The following is a 17,136-nucleotide window of genomic DNA, read 5'->3' on the forward strand; positions in this document are numbered from 1 at the left end:
AAGTATCCCTTAATGGGTCCATCCTTGGATTCATCTGGAATGACTGGGGCAGAACAATGTTCTTTAACCAGAGGGCCTGACTCTATTGGGTTCCACTAACATTAGTCTTATTTGACCAGCTTCTCAAAGCAAATACTCTTGCAGGAAAGACAGCTGCCAGCCAGAGGGGACCTCCTGATCTGCCATCATTATGGATTAACTTTATTGAACCACAGCTGTACAAAACACCATGTTAGTTGAAAGGGAACTCCACACCAAACCTCAGAGATAGCCTGTTTCTACTCCCTACTCAATGAATATAATAATTATGCCAGACATTGCCTTCATGACAAGTGTGTGTCCAAGAGACTCAGCATCCATGACAGTATAGATTAGAGGTCTCTGGGGGAAGTGAAGGAAGCTTACATTATTGTTAGTTTTTCATCAATGTCAAAAGACTTTTCTATTGTCACAGACAGGCCAGATGAGACAGGACAAAGAAAAGTCTTCTGGCTCAGTAGGAAACCTCCTGAGAAGCATAAAAGTAGCTGAATTACTGAGCCTTTGATGGGTGACTTCAGGCAACAGCTCCATGAGGCTTATTTGCTGCCTTTTCCATTTTAAGAAATCTTGAGGCATGGGGTGCTGATCAGGGAGATGTTTTAACCCATTGTAAAGATGGCAGGCACTCTGTTCTCCAGACCTTGGCAAGAAGAAAGGTAGGGAGCATTGGAGTGTCGTGCCAACCTTCCATTTCTGTGAAAATCTCCACCAGATTTATAAGGAACAGGCATCAGCACTGTCAGACATATACTGTTCTCTTCACCTGTTGCTGTCCAGTATTTCACCAGGCAAAAATTTCACGCTTGCATTTGCTGTCCTTCACTATTGTTAAAGGTAAAGATGAGTCATAATTCAACTTTTTGTGAGCCACATCGCACATGTGAACTTGAAACACTAATAACAATAGCTGAGTTAATTGAGGAATTACTGTGAGCCAGGCATCATTCTAAGGCTTTACATGTATTAACACATGAATCCTCATAACAACCCTACAACATAGGTGCCGTTATTATCTGCATTTTACAGATGAAGAAACTGAGGCATAGAGAAGTGAAGTAACTTGTCAACGGTCACACAACTAGTTAATGACAGAGATTTGAACATAGGCATTCTGGATCTAGAACCCAAGTTCAAATGTCAATGGTAAACTGCCTTCCTAAAATAATACAGAGATGAGAAAAAACCAGTTCACACATAACTTAAGTGATTTTATACATAGCTTTACAAAGTATATCTCAGCCTGATGTTATTGCCCCATGCACTTTAAGACAAGAAGGGAACTATTTAACTAATACCAGCATTTCCATGACCAGGTTTCTAAAGAGTCAATTAACTTTCCCTGGAGCATGGTGGCAGCAGAATCACTGAATTACATACAGGTCAAAGAGAAACCATTTCTTTACAGTCGTTAAGAAAACAAGATGTGGAGAAGGGGGCCAATGGTAGAAATTAAAAATACTCTTGAGGTTTCAAACGTCTGGTTGAAGCTGGATGTGCAGAACGCTCATTAGCATATTAGCATTGACAGTGGCTCCATAGCATCCAAATACTTTCAATTTAAGTGGGAGCTTAGCAGCAATTTGAAGAATGTATGTTAGTACTTCCTCTACATCAAAGAGCATATAGTACTGCTAAGAGTAGTAATAATGATGACAGTTTATCTTTATTGGGTGCTTATTATATGGTAAGCAGTGTGCTAAGTATATTATTTAATGTCCACAGTAATCCTGTGAGCTAGGACACTATCATTATCTCCATTTTACAGATGAGAAAACTGAGGAACAGAGAGGTCAAGTAACTTGCTTAAGGGTAACACAGTAAGTGGCAGAGCAAGGACTCAAACCCATGTAATCCCCTGACTTCAAGGCTTGTGTTGTTAAGCACTAAGCAAGATACTGTTATGAGGATTCAAGCCCTCCACCACACTGTTTAGAAAACTTACCCCAATCTTCTAGCCTTATTATTGACCCCAGCTCAAGCTTTGGGTCTGTAATGATTGCTTGGTGGCATTTTTGTTCTCAATGCTAGGCCTTTCTTTTCCATGTTATAGATGGATGGCTAAGTATTGAATATTACTTTGTGAGCATAGATTTATGCTTATATACGATAACTTACAAATCATATGATATCAGTTAACATTTAGTCCCCTGGAACACAGCGCAGATGTGGCCTCAATATTTTTCCTGGGACTTTTACACATATGGTCCAGACTGTCATAAACTGGAAATATTTAAGTCAAATTAGATTGTCTAGTCATCTTAGACTATAAGTGTTGTGACTCAGGGACACTCCACAATATATATTTCAGTTTAAAACAATATAAAACAATATATATTTCATATAAATATATAAAACAATATATATTTCAGTTTAAATTCTATTATAATCAAATAATAAAGAGGTACTAAATAAAAAACTCGTTACTTCCTTAGAAATGTCTATGAGAAATACATTAGTAATGATTTTTGAAGTATTTTAATAGCTGCCATTTTTGAGTACCTTCTATGTACCAGACATTGTGCTAAGTATGATTTAATTGTCATAACAATCCTAGGAGTTAGGTACTATTAGTCTGACTTTGTAGATGAGGACACTGGGTCTCAGAAGATACACAACTGCTCGAGATCCAATAGTGAAAGAAACAGGCTTGGAAGCCAAGCAGACTGAATCCAGAACCTGACCTCTTAACCACTCTGCAATACTGGCTCCTACAGTAACATTCACTGATCCCAGATTGGCCCTACCAGTCATTCAAAACTTAAGGAGATCCATGGTCCAATCACGGTAGCTCTCAAAGGATGTTTGGTTGTTCATTTCAATTGTTGTTGTTCTAATGGAGAAGAATACAGTCCAGTGAACTACAACCTATGGTATGAATTATAGTAGTTTGGCAGAGTTCTTTGCACCTGCCATATATAGAATTTAGACTCCTTTTTTTTCTCCACCCATTTCTTATTCACATACCTTTTTTTCTTCATGTTTGGTTGCTTTTATGCTTGTTTCTTGGCTTTTGATGTAATAACATTTCTTAATTCATTATTAGTATTGCTGTCTAGTGGACCTCACCCTCATTATAACTTATAAGGATTTAAAACCTAGGCTGGAATTGTGAAATAATATTTTTGGGGGTGTAGCTAACTATATAAATAAATGGCAAGACAAAATGGCATTACTCTAAATCTGTTTCTCAAATTTAGTGTGCCTGCGAAGCACCTGGGGACCTTGCGAAAATGCAGCTTCTGATTCAGTAGGTCTGTGCTGGGGCCTGAGATTCTGGGATTCTAAGTGGTTCCCAGGTTATGCAGGGCACACTTTGAGTAGCAAGGTTCTAGATTGGCCTGGTCCTGTTGTGCTTTTAAGTAAAGTCACAATTAATTGAATCTGGGGAGATTAATGTTTAGGCTGTTTAAAAAGCTGCCTCAGGCTCCCTGAGATGGCAATTCTCAAATGTCTTCAAAAATTTATTGTAATAATTAATTAGCTCTCACTGTCCAGGAAGCTTTTTTGTGTCTAAACAAAACCCTCCAGGTGCTGTGATGTTCTGCTTCTCATTTTATCTTCAGCGGAGATGGAGTTAGTCCACCATGTCAATTCTATTATGGGTTACTTTGTTTATGTATATATGTATGTGTGTGTGTATTTACACACAGTTCTTCAATGTTAAAAAGAGTCTTTGGGCTGTCCTCCACCGTCTCCTTTCCTCTCCTCTAGGAATCTTAAGATCTTGGAGATATCTAAGTCAGTTCTCTTCCTGTCTCCATGTTTATTTGCCTCCTCTATGAAATCTATAAAATTACACACGCTTTGTAATTCCTTGCCAAAATCCTGTTGCCTTGTATTTCAAAGAGCTGTTTAAAGCTTCAATGACCCTAGCCTGCATTGGATATACACCCAGCATGTCCAAAGTGCAAAACGGAGTATACTAGTAACTACTGGCCACCCAGACTATAAAGCTCATATTACAAAAATGCACACTCTAGGCAGAATCTGGTAAATGTCAACTTCAAAATAAGTTGTGTCATACTGCTATATTTATAACCACATGGTCAATAAAAATAAGCACTTGCGAGGTGATTAAAAATAACATACCAGGTAAAATTGGTTGTCCGGCAATTCCCAGCGGTGCCATTCCAAGATTATTCATTGCTGTGGCCCATGCAGTTGGATCAGACATAGGTAGTGTCATTGCAGTGGAATCCACGTTCAGAGTTCTACTGTTATCGGCTGAAAAGAAATGACAAGCAAAATAATTTGTTGTGTTAAGGTTCTAGCAACTAGTTTACTTATAAACATAAATTCTGGCAAACTGTTTATAGAAATGGCTGGAGAAATGGACAAGTGGTGGATAAGGCCTCAATGCCAGCTTTCTTATAAGGGTTAAAACAACACAGCTTGAACTGGCAGGAAGTCATGGAATTTGAAAGTAATTTACCAGATGGCATTTTAGTATAAGTGTTTCCTTCCTTCTCTCCCTTTCTTCCTTCTCTCTCTCTCTCTCTCTCTCTCTTTTTTCAAGCATACACAACAGAGGAGCTTGGAATGATTAAGAAGTTTTCTATTCTTCTCACAGTCTACTAGCATATGATTACTTCAGCAGCTTCCATCCAAACTACTTATGCATGTAAAGCAAGAAAAAACATCCTAGGGCTTCTGTAGTTGGCAATAAAAGATGAAAATTATACTCCTGATGTAATTTCATATCTTTGAAGCAGTACTATTGAATAGAGCTGGACACACAATCAGCAGACATCAAATTAGCTGAATGACAATTTTGGGGGTTAGGGGAACAATGAGAAAAAGCAGACTAGAGACACAGTCCCTGCCCTCAAAGGTTGTACAATAAAATTGAAGAGACTGATGATGATGGTGATAATTATTACCATTATCACTGTTATCACCACCTCCACCCACTACTACCTCTGTTGAACACTTACTGTATGCCAGGTAAATCACTTGGCATGCATCATTCTCATTTAACTTTCAGAACAGCCCTATGAGGTAGGGACTATTTATATCTCCATTTAATAGAAGTTTTAGAGACATTTAAGAGAAGTTTCGAAAGGTCAAATATATTGTCCAAGGTCATACAGAATGTATAATTTTTAGCCACTATGCTTTACTATCTCCAGTTAAACAACTAGGAAACAATGAAAGACTCAAATGGTATAGATCAGAAATGTTACTGTAGTTTATGGTATGCAGAGCTACTGTGGCCTGAGTAAGCAGGAAATACTTCATGGAGAAAATAGGACTTGAAAGAATGGACCAGATTTATATAGAGCATGTCATGAGTGATGAGCAGTTATTAGATAGGTAAAGTAGAGGGGCCAGACATCCCAGGAGCAGGAATGATATAAGCAAAAACATTGAAACGGGTTTTATAAGCACGTACATGTACACAGTGTTGGGAGAGATATAGTCATGAGTCATCTGAGCACAAACAGACTTTCGTTTTGGGAAATTTTCCTCTGACTACTGATAGCCATAGAAAAATCTTTCTATGGCTTTTTTCCTACCTCCCAGTACACACTTCTGCCAATTACAACCCATGAAGGCAACTCTGTTCTAATAGTAGCTTGCTAAAGTCCAAGGCAACATCAGGGCTGACTCTTGCCAGGGTTATGTATACATGTGCTATTTTGGTCACTGATTGGTCAGAACAAGCAAATGTAAATGTCTAAAAACATTATTTCTGAAATATTAGTTTTTGTCATTTTTCTGTGCTGCCTTTGCCTCTTCCCCCTTAATCCCTCCTTCACACACACACAGTGATTGATGGCACTAAGTGTTCATTAATTACAGTCAGAAGTCACATTTCAGAGTGATTACTCCTACAGAGTGATTTCTCCATCTGTAGGAACTTTAGTAGTTATATCCAGCTTTCAGTGTTCTCTCACAAAGGCATATCCAAAGGCTAGAAATAGCCTCCTTGCAAATATTATCAAGAAAACAAATATGGGATGCTGAATATCCTTTGGGTTGAGAGTTTACATAGTGATAATTAGTCTACTTGGACTTCCAAGCCCCCAGCTAGGGGAGGTAAGTTTTTAGAGAATGTTACAGCTGAAAGATACCTTTAGAGATTATTGAGTCTACACTCTGATTTTCTCTGGTTGCTGGAGAATCAGTCCCAGAAGAAACTGGTAGGTTTAGAAGGACTGGGACCCAATGCCAAAAATAATTTCTTACAACAGTTTGGCTACTCATTGGTTCTGCAGTCATGAGAAATATTAAAACAAACAAACAAACAAACAGGAACACTTCTCAGTAAAGGATTTTGAGGTCAAAGAATGAGAATTTATAATATATTAACCTAGCCAAACTCTGGACTAATTAGGGGCGGGATAAGTGTTTGGGGGAAGACAATGATCTCAATTACAATTTTGAAGGAAAACACAGTATTGTTATTTTCAAAATGTATAGTAATTCACAATGCTTGTTAACATGTTAGTAAGTAGAGTTCCTGGTATGCTTGTTTACAGGAACAGATAAGGAACATGTGTGATTAACAACATTATTTCATCTCAATGAAAGTGGTTCTTAAATTCTTAGGAAGTTTTGCTTTAAATGTCCTTCTTATCTCCCTTCCCTCCCCTAACACCCATCTCCACCTGTCAAAATCCCACTCATTTTTGAAGGGTCACCTCAAATGCTACCTTGTTTATGAAACTGAAATGGCCAGGTGGGAAGGGCTCCCTGGCAGAGCCTCCCACTGACCTGCACCCTGGGGTGGAGCCTTGGAAGTTCATGTGTTTGCAGTGGGAAGGAGCCTGGCCCCTCCTCTTCCTGGGTGGAACCTGGGATTCAATCTATGAGGCGGGAAGCACACCAGCAGGACTCTGGCCTTGCAGAGGGTCCCCGTTTCCCTTTTTTACCCCTTTTTCTCCAATACATTCCATTTTTCTCACCCTTCAAAGTGTCTGCAAGCCTAATCTCTCATGGCCGTGTGACAAGAACCTGGTTCTTTGCTGAACTAAGGAAAAAGTCCTATAACAAAACCACCTCATTGGAATTAATTACTTCTTCTGATGTGTTCTCATAACATTTTATCTAGAATTTGATTTTCACATGTTTGCTCATTCTCTCACTCATTCCTTGCAAACTAAACTTTTTTGAGTCTTACTATATGCCATGCTGTTTTGCTAGTAACTACGAACACAGAGATGAACAAAACTCATTTACTGCTCTGGAAGAATTCAAAAACAATAAACAATCCAATGTAAATTATTATAATAAGTACTGTAATTAAACCATGAGTGGAGTGCTCTGGGAACACAGAGGAGTAATTAAAGCTGCTGCAATGGGTTTGGGTATACGTGTTTCTGGTTGTGGGGTGGAGGAGGAATGCCAGGGAAGCCTTCATTGGGAAAGAATCATTTGAAGTAAGTCTTTAAGGAGGGATAGGATTTTCTTCCAGGTAGTGAATGGAAGATTGGGGTAAGAAGAGCATTCTAAAAAGCAAGAAGCACCAAGCATTTACCACCGACTGCCTTGGATTATTGTTATTGTGTACATGTCTCCCTTCTGCTGGCCTGCATGCCTCTTTTAGGTCAGGTACTGGGTTTGAGGCATTTTCTTTCCTTATTTCTTAGTTTAGTGTCTAGTATAAAGTAGGTATTCAAGAAATATTTAAATTAATAAAGAAAATTAATTTACATTGATTTTGGGCACAATAAGCAGTCTATACAATGACACCCATTGATTATTTGTATACCTTTTCAGAATGACAAATTGTCTTAAAGAGGTGGCATTATTGCTAAGCCAATTCTTTCTCTAGGACAGCTGAATACTTGTAGAAATTTGCTTAGTTACAACCAGGGATATATGCCCAACTAATAACTCAGTTTGATCTCATTAGCTATGATCTTTTTCCCATATCGGCATAATCATACATAAAAGCTTGCAAAATTTTGCTTTCAAAGGAAAATCCCAGATGATCACCTCTGGCAGTAATCTGGATTCAAGGTCCACGGTAACAAAACATGTTGTGCTAAGTATCTGTTTAGAATTATCACTTAATGGTGGAAAAGTTAAGTTCTGGCCTGATCCACTTTCTAGACTAGAAATGGACATCTAGTAATTTTCCCCTGAATCCTACAATCACTGGCAGCAGCCAAGAATATTCAGAAGGCGAATGCTACTGGTTGTCAAGTGGTCTTTAAAATACCTACCCCAAGTCTGAAGAACATGTCTTGCCATGCTGGTTCTCCTATTCTGCTGTGTGACAAGTTCTCAAGAGGTCAGAGATTGTAGAGTGGCTGTGAGTAAGTGCCTTCTAGGTAATTTGGTTGAAGATATGGCACTTTGGAATAAGCTCCATTAGCACCAAAAGAATACAAGATTTGGAAGTGATCATCTACTTGAACTTGGTATCATTTTATAACTATCAAATCTCTGCCATCTGTTTATTTTTGTATTGTTGATGCATCACTAATTAACTTGTCAATCACTGTCAAAGTTATTTGATTTTGAAGACTACACACACACACACACACACACACACACACACACAGACACACACACAATTTCCTCTGAAACAAGGACAACAGTATGTTGGTGCTGTCTCTTCAACTATATTCTTTCATTAAGACAAAAACTCTCCTTCTCTGATGATTTACTCTCCTACAATTCTCTTTCTTATGTCCGAGTGGATATCCACTGGTTTTTATGCTCACTGTAATTTTGTTACACATTATTATGCAAAGTTGAGGAGACAGTTTTGTCAACAAACATCTATTGAAAGCCTGTTAACCACAGGAAGCAATCCTGTCTAATCATCAAGAGCATTGGTCTGGGAGTCAGATGGCTCTGGACTAGAGTCTAACTCTACTACTTAGCAACTGTAATGTGCTCATTCACTTTCTTTCTTCTCTTCTTGCCTGCCTGCCTTCCAGTCTTCCTTTCATATTTACCATACATTCACTGAACATTATCTATGTGTCAGGCAGTATTGCAGATGTTGAGGATATTAGGGTGAGTCAAAGAGACCTCATCCTTGCTCTTGTAGAACTTATACTCTAATGCAATAGACAGATATTAAAATACAAATAATTATGCACTGTAATAAGTGTTATGAGCAAATAACTGGGTTTGACGAAAAAATGGGAAGCTACTAAATTAGGAAAATGAAAGCATCTACCTTATAGGTTTGTTGAAGATTAGATAATGTGGGTAAAGAATTTAGCATGTCTTCTGGCTCATATTGAGCGCTCAATAAATGGCCATAATAACATGGTAATAGTTATGGTAAACGATGAGGAAGTGGTCCCAGCCCTCGGGGGGTTCAAAGTCTACTGAGAGAACCAAGCATACACATGAATTACTAGAATACACTGTATGAATAATGAAACTGAGGCACAGAGAGTTTAAGTGATCAGCTCAACATCACACAGCTAGTAGGTAGTAGAGCAAGAATATAAGCCCAGTCAGCTCTGATGCCAATGCTCACAATGTAACTCATCACACTAAACTCTCTTCCAAAGAGTACATTTATTCTGTGTTCTCTTAGCTCACTGAAGACATTGCTATCATAGCCCTTACTACATTATATTTTTCTGATCTTTTTCCATGTCTGTCTCTCCCCAGAAATTGCTTATTCCTCCTTGTTATTTCTAGTGCCTAGACACAGTGTCTGACATAGAAAAGATGTTTAACAAGCTATTTTAAACAAATACATGAGGAAATATATGAGTATACAAAAGAGTCCTCCACAGATATTCTTTCCAGAAGCAGGTGTCAAGCTATTCAGAACAGGATACTACTCTATTATTGTATTAAGATAAAATCTCTTTTGGAGGGTTTCTTTTGAGGGCTGAGTGTTAAACAAAAATTTTAAATGGAAAAAGAAAGGAAGATAAAATGATGACAATTTGAAGTATTATAATCCTTACATGCTGATAATACAAAAAATTCCCAATTACAGACATACAAACTTCAAGGAAGATAAATCTGGGGATGAGAAGATAGCATCACTGAGAAATTCTTCACTTATGAGAAGGAACTAAAATTTCTTAGAGAATTTAAGGTAATTAAATTTACTAAAATGAAAGTCCATGTAGCAGCCATATTTGTTAATTCCTTGAGGCCAGGCGACACAAACCTCATTTACTTCTGCACCCTTTACTGTGACTAGCTCAAAGTAGGTGCCAATAAGTGTGTTTTTAAATAAGAGAACTCTACAAGAACTCAGCAACTGTACAAAGTGGGGCTTACCTGCATAGCCTATTTCGTAGACCCACAGCCATCTAAAATCTCTTTGCATTGTGTGGTCCTCAACTGTGAACTTAGCTCTGTCATCATTTCTGCAGAAAGAAGATAGTAGTCTCAGCTGGGCGTGGTAGCTCATGCTTGTAAATCCCAGCACTTTGGGAGGCGGAGGTGGGTGGATCATTTGAGGTCAGGAGTTCAAGACCAGCCAGGTCAACATGGTAAAACCCAACGTCTACTAAAAATATAAAAATTAGCTAGGCGTGGTGGTGTATGCCTGTAGTCCCAGCTACTTGGGAGGCTGAGGCACGAGAATCACTTGAACCCAGGGATGGAAGTTGCAGTGAGCCGAGATCACACCACTACATTCCAGCCTGGGCAACAGAGTGAGACTCTGTCTCAAAAAAAAAAAAAAAAAAGAAAAGAAAAGAAAAAGAAAAAAGAAAAAGAAACAGATAGTGGTCTAAAGGTGGGTGGGACATGGGACATCAGGCCTCTAGAATATACTAGGACTCAGAAAAATGATGAATAATAGTTTTTTTTTTAATACTTTAAGTTCTGGGATACATGTGCGAATGTGCAGGTTTGTTACATAGGTATACACGTGCCATGGTAGTTTGCTGCACCCATCAAGCCATCATCTACATTAGGTATTTCTCCTAATGCTATCCCTCTCCTAGCCCCCCACCCCCTGACAGGCCCTGGTGTGTGATGTTCCCCTCCCTGTGTCCATGTGTTCTCATTGTTCAACTCCCACTTATGAGTGAGAACATATGGTATTTGGTTTTCTTAATAGTTTTAAAGATAGCAATTATAATAAGACTAATAAGAGTCAACAGTTATATAATGCTTACTATGCACCTCACACTGTTCTAGGCACTTTATGTATATTAATTTAAAATTCACAACAATCCTATGAAGTAGGTCCTTTCATTATCCCCATTTTACTGATGAGGTAATAGGAACAGAGAAGTTAAGCAAGCTATCCATAGTTATATAGCTAGCTTGCAGTAGAGCCGAGATTCAAACCCAGGCAGTCTGGCTTCAAAATTCATGCTCTTGACCACTATGCCCTACTAAACTAGGGGGTTCATCAAGTTATAGAATATTTGAGCTGAGGGCTCTAGAGCTCATCATTATACAGATGGGTACTCTCAATGTCCTCTATTGCAGTGCCAAGTTTGCCCCACAGGGGACATTTGGCAGTATCTGGAGACATTTTTGATTGTCATACCTGGCAGCAGGTAGTTGCTACTGACATCTAGTAGAGGCCAGGGGTTCTGCTAAACATCCTACAATGTACAGGACATCCCCCTTCAAGAACCAATTATCTGGCCTAAAATGTCAATAGTGCTGAGGTTGAGAAATCCTGCTCTACTGTAACAATTTTTGTGTGTTCTTACTGGAGAACGCCTTATACCCCTGGTTTCTTCCATAATCCTTTCCCATCTATCACATGTATAGGCAACTCCAACTTCTGTAGTTTATGCCGTACCCTACTCTCTTATGCTATCGTGCAACTAAGACTAATCTGATCAAACCCTCCTCTCTGACCCCATCTCAAGAATCTATTAACGCTTTCAGCATGGTTACTTCTATGCTTCACATCAAAGAAATGATCCTTGTTGTGGGAAGTCCAGGTACCATGGAATGCTCATGGGTTGCTGTTTGAGAATAGTCCTGGAAATAGCAGTAGGCACACCATGACAAAGGAAAGAGAAAGGAAGTTTAGAAAATGCTTGAACAAAACGTGGAAGAAAACTTCATTTCTGGCATATCACATAGGACCTCGCATATAGTAGGCATTCGAGAAGTATTTGTTGTGAAAAGATGACACAGGGGCAGGGTTGGGTGTCCTACCAAGGAATAACATTGTGTTTTCTGTTCTCTGTCTAAGGGAAAGGAAACAGTAGAACAAATCACATTTGGGGTCTGCATTAAGCCTGGGGCTCAAGGCTTTATCTTTTGCGTAGTATTTATTGCTTATGAAGCAATATATTGTGGCAGTGCAGGTGTTATTTTGAATCTCTCTTCATATTCCTTGAAAATTAACAATCTATCATTGTTTGTGAACAATGCACTGAAGCCTGAGGCACAGGCCACAGTCCCTCCTATTGCAGACTTCAAGTGATGCCACAGCTTGCATCACGGTGATGCAGGTGAGAGAACTGACAGGGGCTTTTGTAGGCTTTTGTAATACAAGGCTCCCAGATGGCTTGAGAGAGATGATGCTATTAGACAAGCAGGATGGATCAAAGAGTCACTCAAGGGAATCAAGATGTCATACATTCTCTTCCTTGAGAAAGGAAAAGGAGATAAGGGAAGGGAAGGCAAAGGGAGGCAAGGGAAGGGTCTTTATGCTGGCCTATATATATAGTAGGTAGTCATTTTCACATGAGTTGTGAGTGTGGCAGGGTGGGAGTTGGAAGAGAATAGCTTGATCTTCAAGGTATACAGATGAGAATCTCAGCATAGCGGGTGCTTTCACAAACTAAACCTCATCCTGGAAGATTTATTGTTTTAGTCTATAAGCTAGAGGGTCCTGAAGACAGCCACCTCTGTATTGGAGCAGTTATCAAGATGTTCAATATTTAAGTTAGATCAATTTAAAGCCACAGAGCCAGGCCAGCCCTCCAGATGGCAATTGTAGTGAGGGTGGGGTGAGGGCGTGGTATAGTGAGGAAGAAGAAGGCCACAGAATTTGGTATGTGCCTCTCCAAGGAAGTGATAGCACATACCCTACATTTATGAAGGCAACAAGGTATAATAGAAGGAATACAGGACTTGGAGCCAGATAGATCTAAAATCCAACCTTGGCTGTACTCCTGACTAGCTGAATGACTTTAGGCAAGTTCCACAAACTTTTTAACCTGTTTATTCACTTGCAGCTGGGGATAATGATACCTATCTTTCATATAAAAGATAATGATAATGATGTTGATTCCTAATATTGGTTAAATGCTTATTATGTGCTAAACATTGTTTTAAAGCTTTGCATGTATTATTACAGTAAGTAGCTAGCCAGGCATGAGTGGGGCAGGAGAGGGCTCCCCCAGCCCCACCAGGAATGTCAGGCGACTATCAGGTAGTTGTCACACTGACTCTCTAAAATAGTAATTGATCATAGCCAGCGCCAGGAAAAAGTAGTTTCCCAATAAATAAAAACACCTGAAACTGGTGATTGGCAGCATCCCAATAAGATCTCTGGTATTGGGCAAGTGGGCTCAGGCATGTGCATTAAGAGACAAAATGGCACAGTTGAACTGATATATGACCTTCCAGGGGCATTCCACTGGAACAGGGAAGAACGCTTCAGATGAGCATGTGTACAACTCTAGTAAACACACTGAGCATGCTCACCTCCCAAGTGCTAGCAGGCCCCCACACATGCAGGCAGCTTACCCTAATGGAAGAATCAAGGGAAACGGGATGCAAGATGCTGGAAGTATGCCAGCATATAAAACCCTAGGTCCAAAGTCAAACAGGGCACTTGACCTCCAAGATATCCACTTAGACCTCTTCCAAGTGTACTTTACCCTCTTTTCATTCCTGCTCTAAAGCTTTTTAATAAACTTTCACTACTACTAAAACTTGCCTTGGTCTCTCCTTCTTCCTTATGCCCCTCAGTCGAATTCTTTCTTCTGAGGAGGCAAGAACTGAGGTTGCTGCAGACCTGTATGGATTTGCCACAGGTAACTCAGATACTTCCACCACTAACAGTATTATACAATATAATTCTTACAAAAACTCTATGAGACAAGTGATATTTATCATTATACTCATTTTATAGACAAGGAGTATGAAACACAAAGAAGTTAACAAGTGGCTTAAGGCCACAGATACAGTTAATGTTGGAATTGGAATTCAAATTCAGGAAGTATGGCTCCAGAGACAACACGTTTAACCACTGGGCTATATACCATCACTAAGAATGCTGAGCCCAATATCTGACACAGAGCAAGTACCTGATCATGACTTTAACCCTACTTCCTTTATCTTTCCCTTCCCTTTTTCTGGCAAGGAAGAAATCATTCAGATGCCCTGTGGGGATCTTTGAGCTGCGGCCAAGGGCTTCTTTTGTAATTTCAGGGTGGGCTGGCATGGGCTGAGGTATCTCAGGGATAGTACTTTTCAGTTCCAGGTTATTAGGCAAATTGAGTCAGAAGAATAGGTTAAGGTTGGACCCAGGGGTTCTGGTTGGACCCAGGGTTCTGGAATACCATCAGGCTCCACTGTGGGAACCTTAGAGGGCTGCCTCAGCTACTAAGAGCAGTGGCTGACTCCCCTTGAGAGGCTCTTTTGGGGTTTTTCTGGACTACAGTCTGTAATTGCCAACCCTCTGGCTTCATGGACTTCTCAGATACCTGTGAACTAATGTTACCTTGGTCTAGAGTGAATGGCTGACTATGGTCCTCTAATCTAGGATTACATCATCACATTTATTCCATATTTTCTTACCTAATATTTAGGTAAAGAACACCAAAAAGCATAGATGGGCCTAAAAAAAAAATGCTACCTGTCTCAGCTCCTTTAATATCTGCACTAATTGCCTGTTAAGTCATATAATTCTTTTCCTGGTTTTGAAATAAACACATAAATATTACTGTCAGGACCCCAAATGTTGTAGTTACTGGTGTTCAACTAGAAATCTTAATATTTAAACTAATCAACTAACTGCATTTCAGGTACTGAGCACGCTCTTTAAGTTAATGGCATAGCTGCTGGTGGGGGAGGGGGTGGAGAAAGAAAAAAACAGAAGCATAAACTTTGTTAAGTTCCCAAAGCTCTGTGGTCTGTGCTTTCCCAAGGTAAGTTGAGTAAAAGGTGACTTGGCAACACTGCTACCATGCTCTTGGAAGTCTGGCAAGATCTCTTGGAGGAAAAAAAACCCCACATCAGTCCTGGGGCTAATCCACAAGCCGTTTTGCTGCAGTCCTTGTTGCTGAAAATCTTTCCAATATGTTTCAGTCCACTTCCTTGCCATAGAAAATAGAGTATGACAAGGATAAATATAGCATGAACAAGATCTGGAGTTTGGAAGGCTAGTTTGAACTCTGGCCCTACCGTTTACTCACCATGTAGCAATCACTTACACCTGTGTTTGTCAAAGTACGTTCCAACCATGTGCATCAGAATCACCTTGGGTGCTTGCTAAATAGGCCAATTTCCAGGGTTCACTGCTAAAGTTTTCACCTGGGTGGCACTGGGGACTCTGCCTGTTGAACAAGTACCCTAGGTAACTCTTACACCCACTACAAATTTGAGAAACACAGAGCTTCAGTTTTCTTATTTATAAATAAGAATGATGCCACCCTTTCACAGGGTGGTGGTGAAAACAACATAGGTAATCAATATGTGCTAGTTGTACCTGAATCTTTGGTGAAGTTATTGCAAGACTACGAGATACATTCTGAATATTAATTTAACAAACTTGTGAAAGCCATATATTATGTGATGGTACCCAGGTGAAAACTACATGTTTTCCTGTCCTTTGAGGGGCTCATAGACTAGTGAGAGTGGCAGATATGAAAACAAAAACTACTGTACGGTTTGAAAATGGCTAAACAGAGATATGAAGAAGGGGGAGACAGTTCCCCTGCTAGGACGGTGCTAAGGAGAGAAGGTGGTGGAGGAGGGAGGGGAGCACTGAGGAAGTGATGTGAAGCTGGAGGTAGTGACTTTAAACTGAGTTTTGAAAACTAAGCCAATTATCATGGTACTACAAATATCTTAAAAGGTACAGAACAAGGCTGTATTTGTACTAAGTCTAAAACCTAGAATGCAAGTTGTTCTTGTTTGGGGAAATGGGAGTGAGTGGAGAATATTTTCCATATCAATTTCCTTATCATTTCTCTCTCCTAAAAGTAGAATGTGGAACAACTGGAGTCATTTTGTATTCCCAGTAGGTTGACTCTGAGAGGATGGGTGTTGGGCTATATTGTTGACTTGCTGTGTAAGTCATTAACTACATGGCCATGGTCTAAGTTGGTGGGGGTAGGGGGTGGGACCCTGGCCATGATGACTATAAATAAGTCAGGTGGTAAATCCTGCTAATAATGGGACCTTTGGCTGAAGTACTAGCTGCCTCAGCAGGGCCATCCTCAGATATTAAGGGCAATGCTATATATACACATACAACCGCATGAGGCAGTGACTAATGGCTCTGCCTTGGGCCAGCAGCTCTGGCCCCTTTCGTGCTTCTTTACCTCTGCAAAGCAGCCAAACTGGAGTTTTCAAACTCCACTCCAATTTGACAAATAATCAAAAGACAATAGACTTTATTATACATACCTTCACATTATCTTCACTACCCTTCATGTTTCAAAATGACTGTTTTTTTTTTTTTGAAAACCACAACACATTCCCATCAACCACTAGCATGCATTTGGCCAGACCAGGCATGATAAACTCTCAAGCCTTAATGCTGAACGATGCTGAATGAAGAGAAAAACAAGTAGGGTTATAACAGTGGTTAAGATCATAATCTTTGGATTAGATCTGAGTTCTAGTCCTGGCCCAACATTTATTACCTGTGTGATGTTAGGCAAGTGATTTCATGTCTCTGTGCTTCATTTTCTACATCTGAGAAATGGGATAATAATAGTACCCATCTTATAGAGCTATAGTGAAGATTAAAGGAGAAAATATACAAAACAGATCTATTGTGGTGCCTAACTTAGTAAATGCTTGTAGAATACTAGTAATTATTATCAATATACTAACAATGGTGGGCATTACCTCTGATATCTTATGGAAAACAGGGGCCACTGGGGGTAAGGAAAGAGGGGAGTGTTACAATTTCTTCAGGTGAAAAGAACATGAAAATACCAGTACAGGAACCAGCCATTAATAATATTAGATTGGTGCAAAAGTAATTATGGTTTTGTG

The 17,136-nt window shown here is 39.6% G+C and overlaps 1 protein-coding gene across 20 annotated transcripts in view, besides 2 other annotated features; it reads right to left on the reverse strand.

Annotated features, from left to right (window-relative positions):
- The window catches only part of ENOX2 (ecto-NOX disulfide-thiol exchanger 2), a 280,885-nt gene that overhangs the window by 76,664 nt on the left and 187,085 nt on the right, over window positions 1-17,136 (reverse strand). For 12 of the 20 annotated variants that reach the window (NM_001382521.1, NM_001281736.2, NM_001382522.1 and 9 more), the window contains one exon: window positions 4,132-4,266. In NM_001382521.1, the coding sequence (NP_001369450.1) occupies window positions 4,132-4,228 (97 nt within the window). In that variant the 5' untranslated portion in view covers window positions 4,229-4,266. Of the gene's footprint in view, window positions 1-4,131; window positions 4,267-10,254; window positions 10,344-16,539; window positions 16,558-17,136 lie in introns of those variants that run through there. The other 8 variants (NM_001382520.1, NM_001382517.1, NM_001382519.1 and 5 more) reach the window with 2 other exon arrangements.
- Window positions 14,065-14,566: an enhancer, noted in NCBI's record as "NANOG hESC enhancer chrX:129847027-129847528 (GRCh37/hg19 assembly coordinates)". NCBI's record gives its function as "activates a minimal SCP1, AML or CMV promoter by ChIP-STARR-seq in naive H9 embryonic stem cells {active_cell/tissue: H9 hESC(naive)}" and the evidence as "EXISTENCE:reporter gene assay evidence [ECO:0000049][PMID:30033119]".
- Window positions 15,187-15,481: a silencer, noted in NCBI's record as "tiled region #3134; HepG2 Repressive DNase matched - State 8:EnhW". NCBI's record gives its function as "represses a minimal TATA promoter and a strong SV40 promoter by Sharpr-MPRA in HepG2 cells {active_cell/tissue: HepG2}" and the evidence as "EXISTENCE:reporter gene assay evidence [ECO:0000049][PMID:27701403]".

This window comes from Homo sapiens, chromosome X (genome assembly GCF_000001405.40).
Source record: "Homo sapiens chromosome X, GRCh38.p14 Primary Assembly".
NCBI lineage: Eukaryota > Metazoa > Chordata > Mammalia > Primates > Hominidae > Homo > Homo sapiens.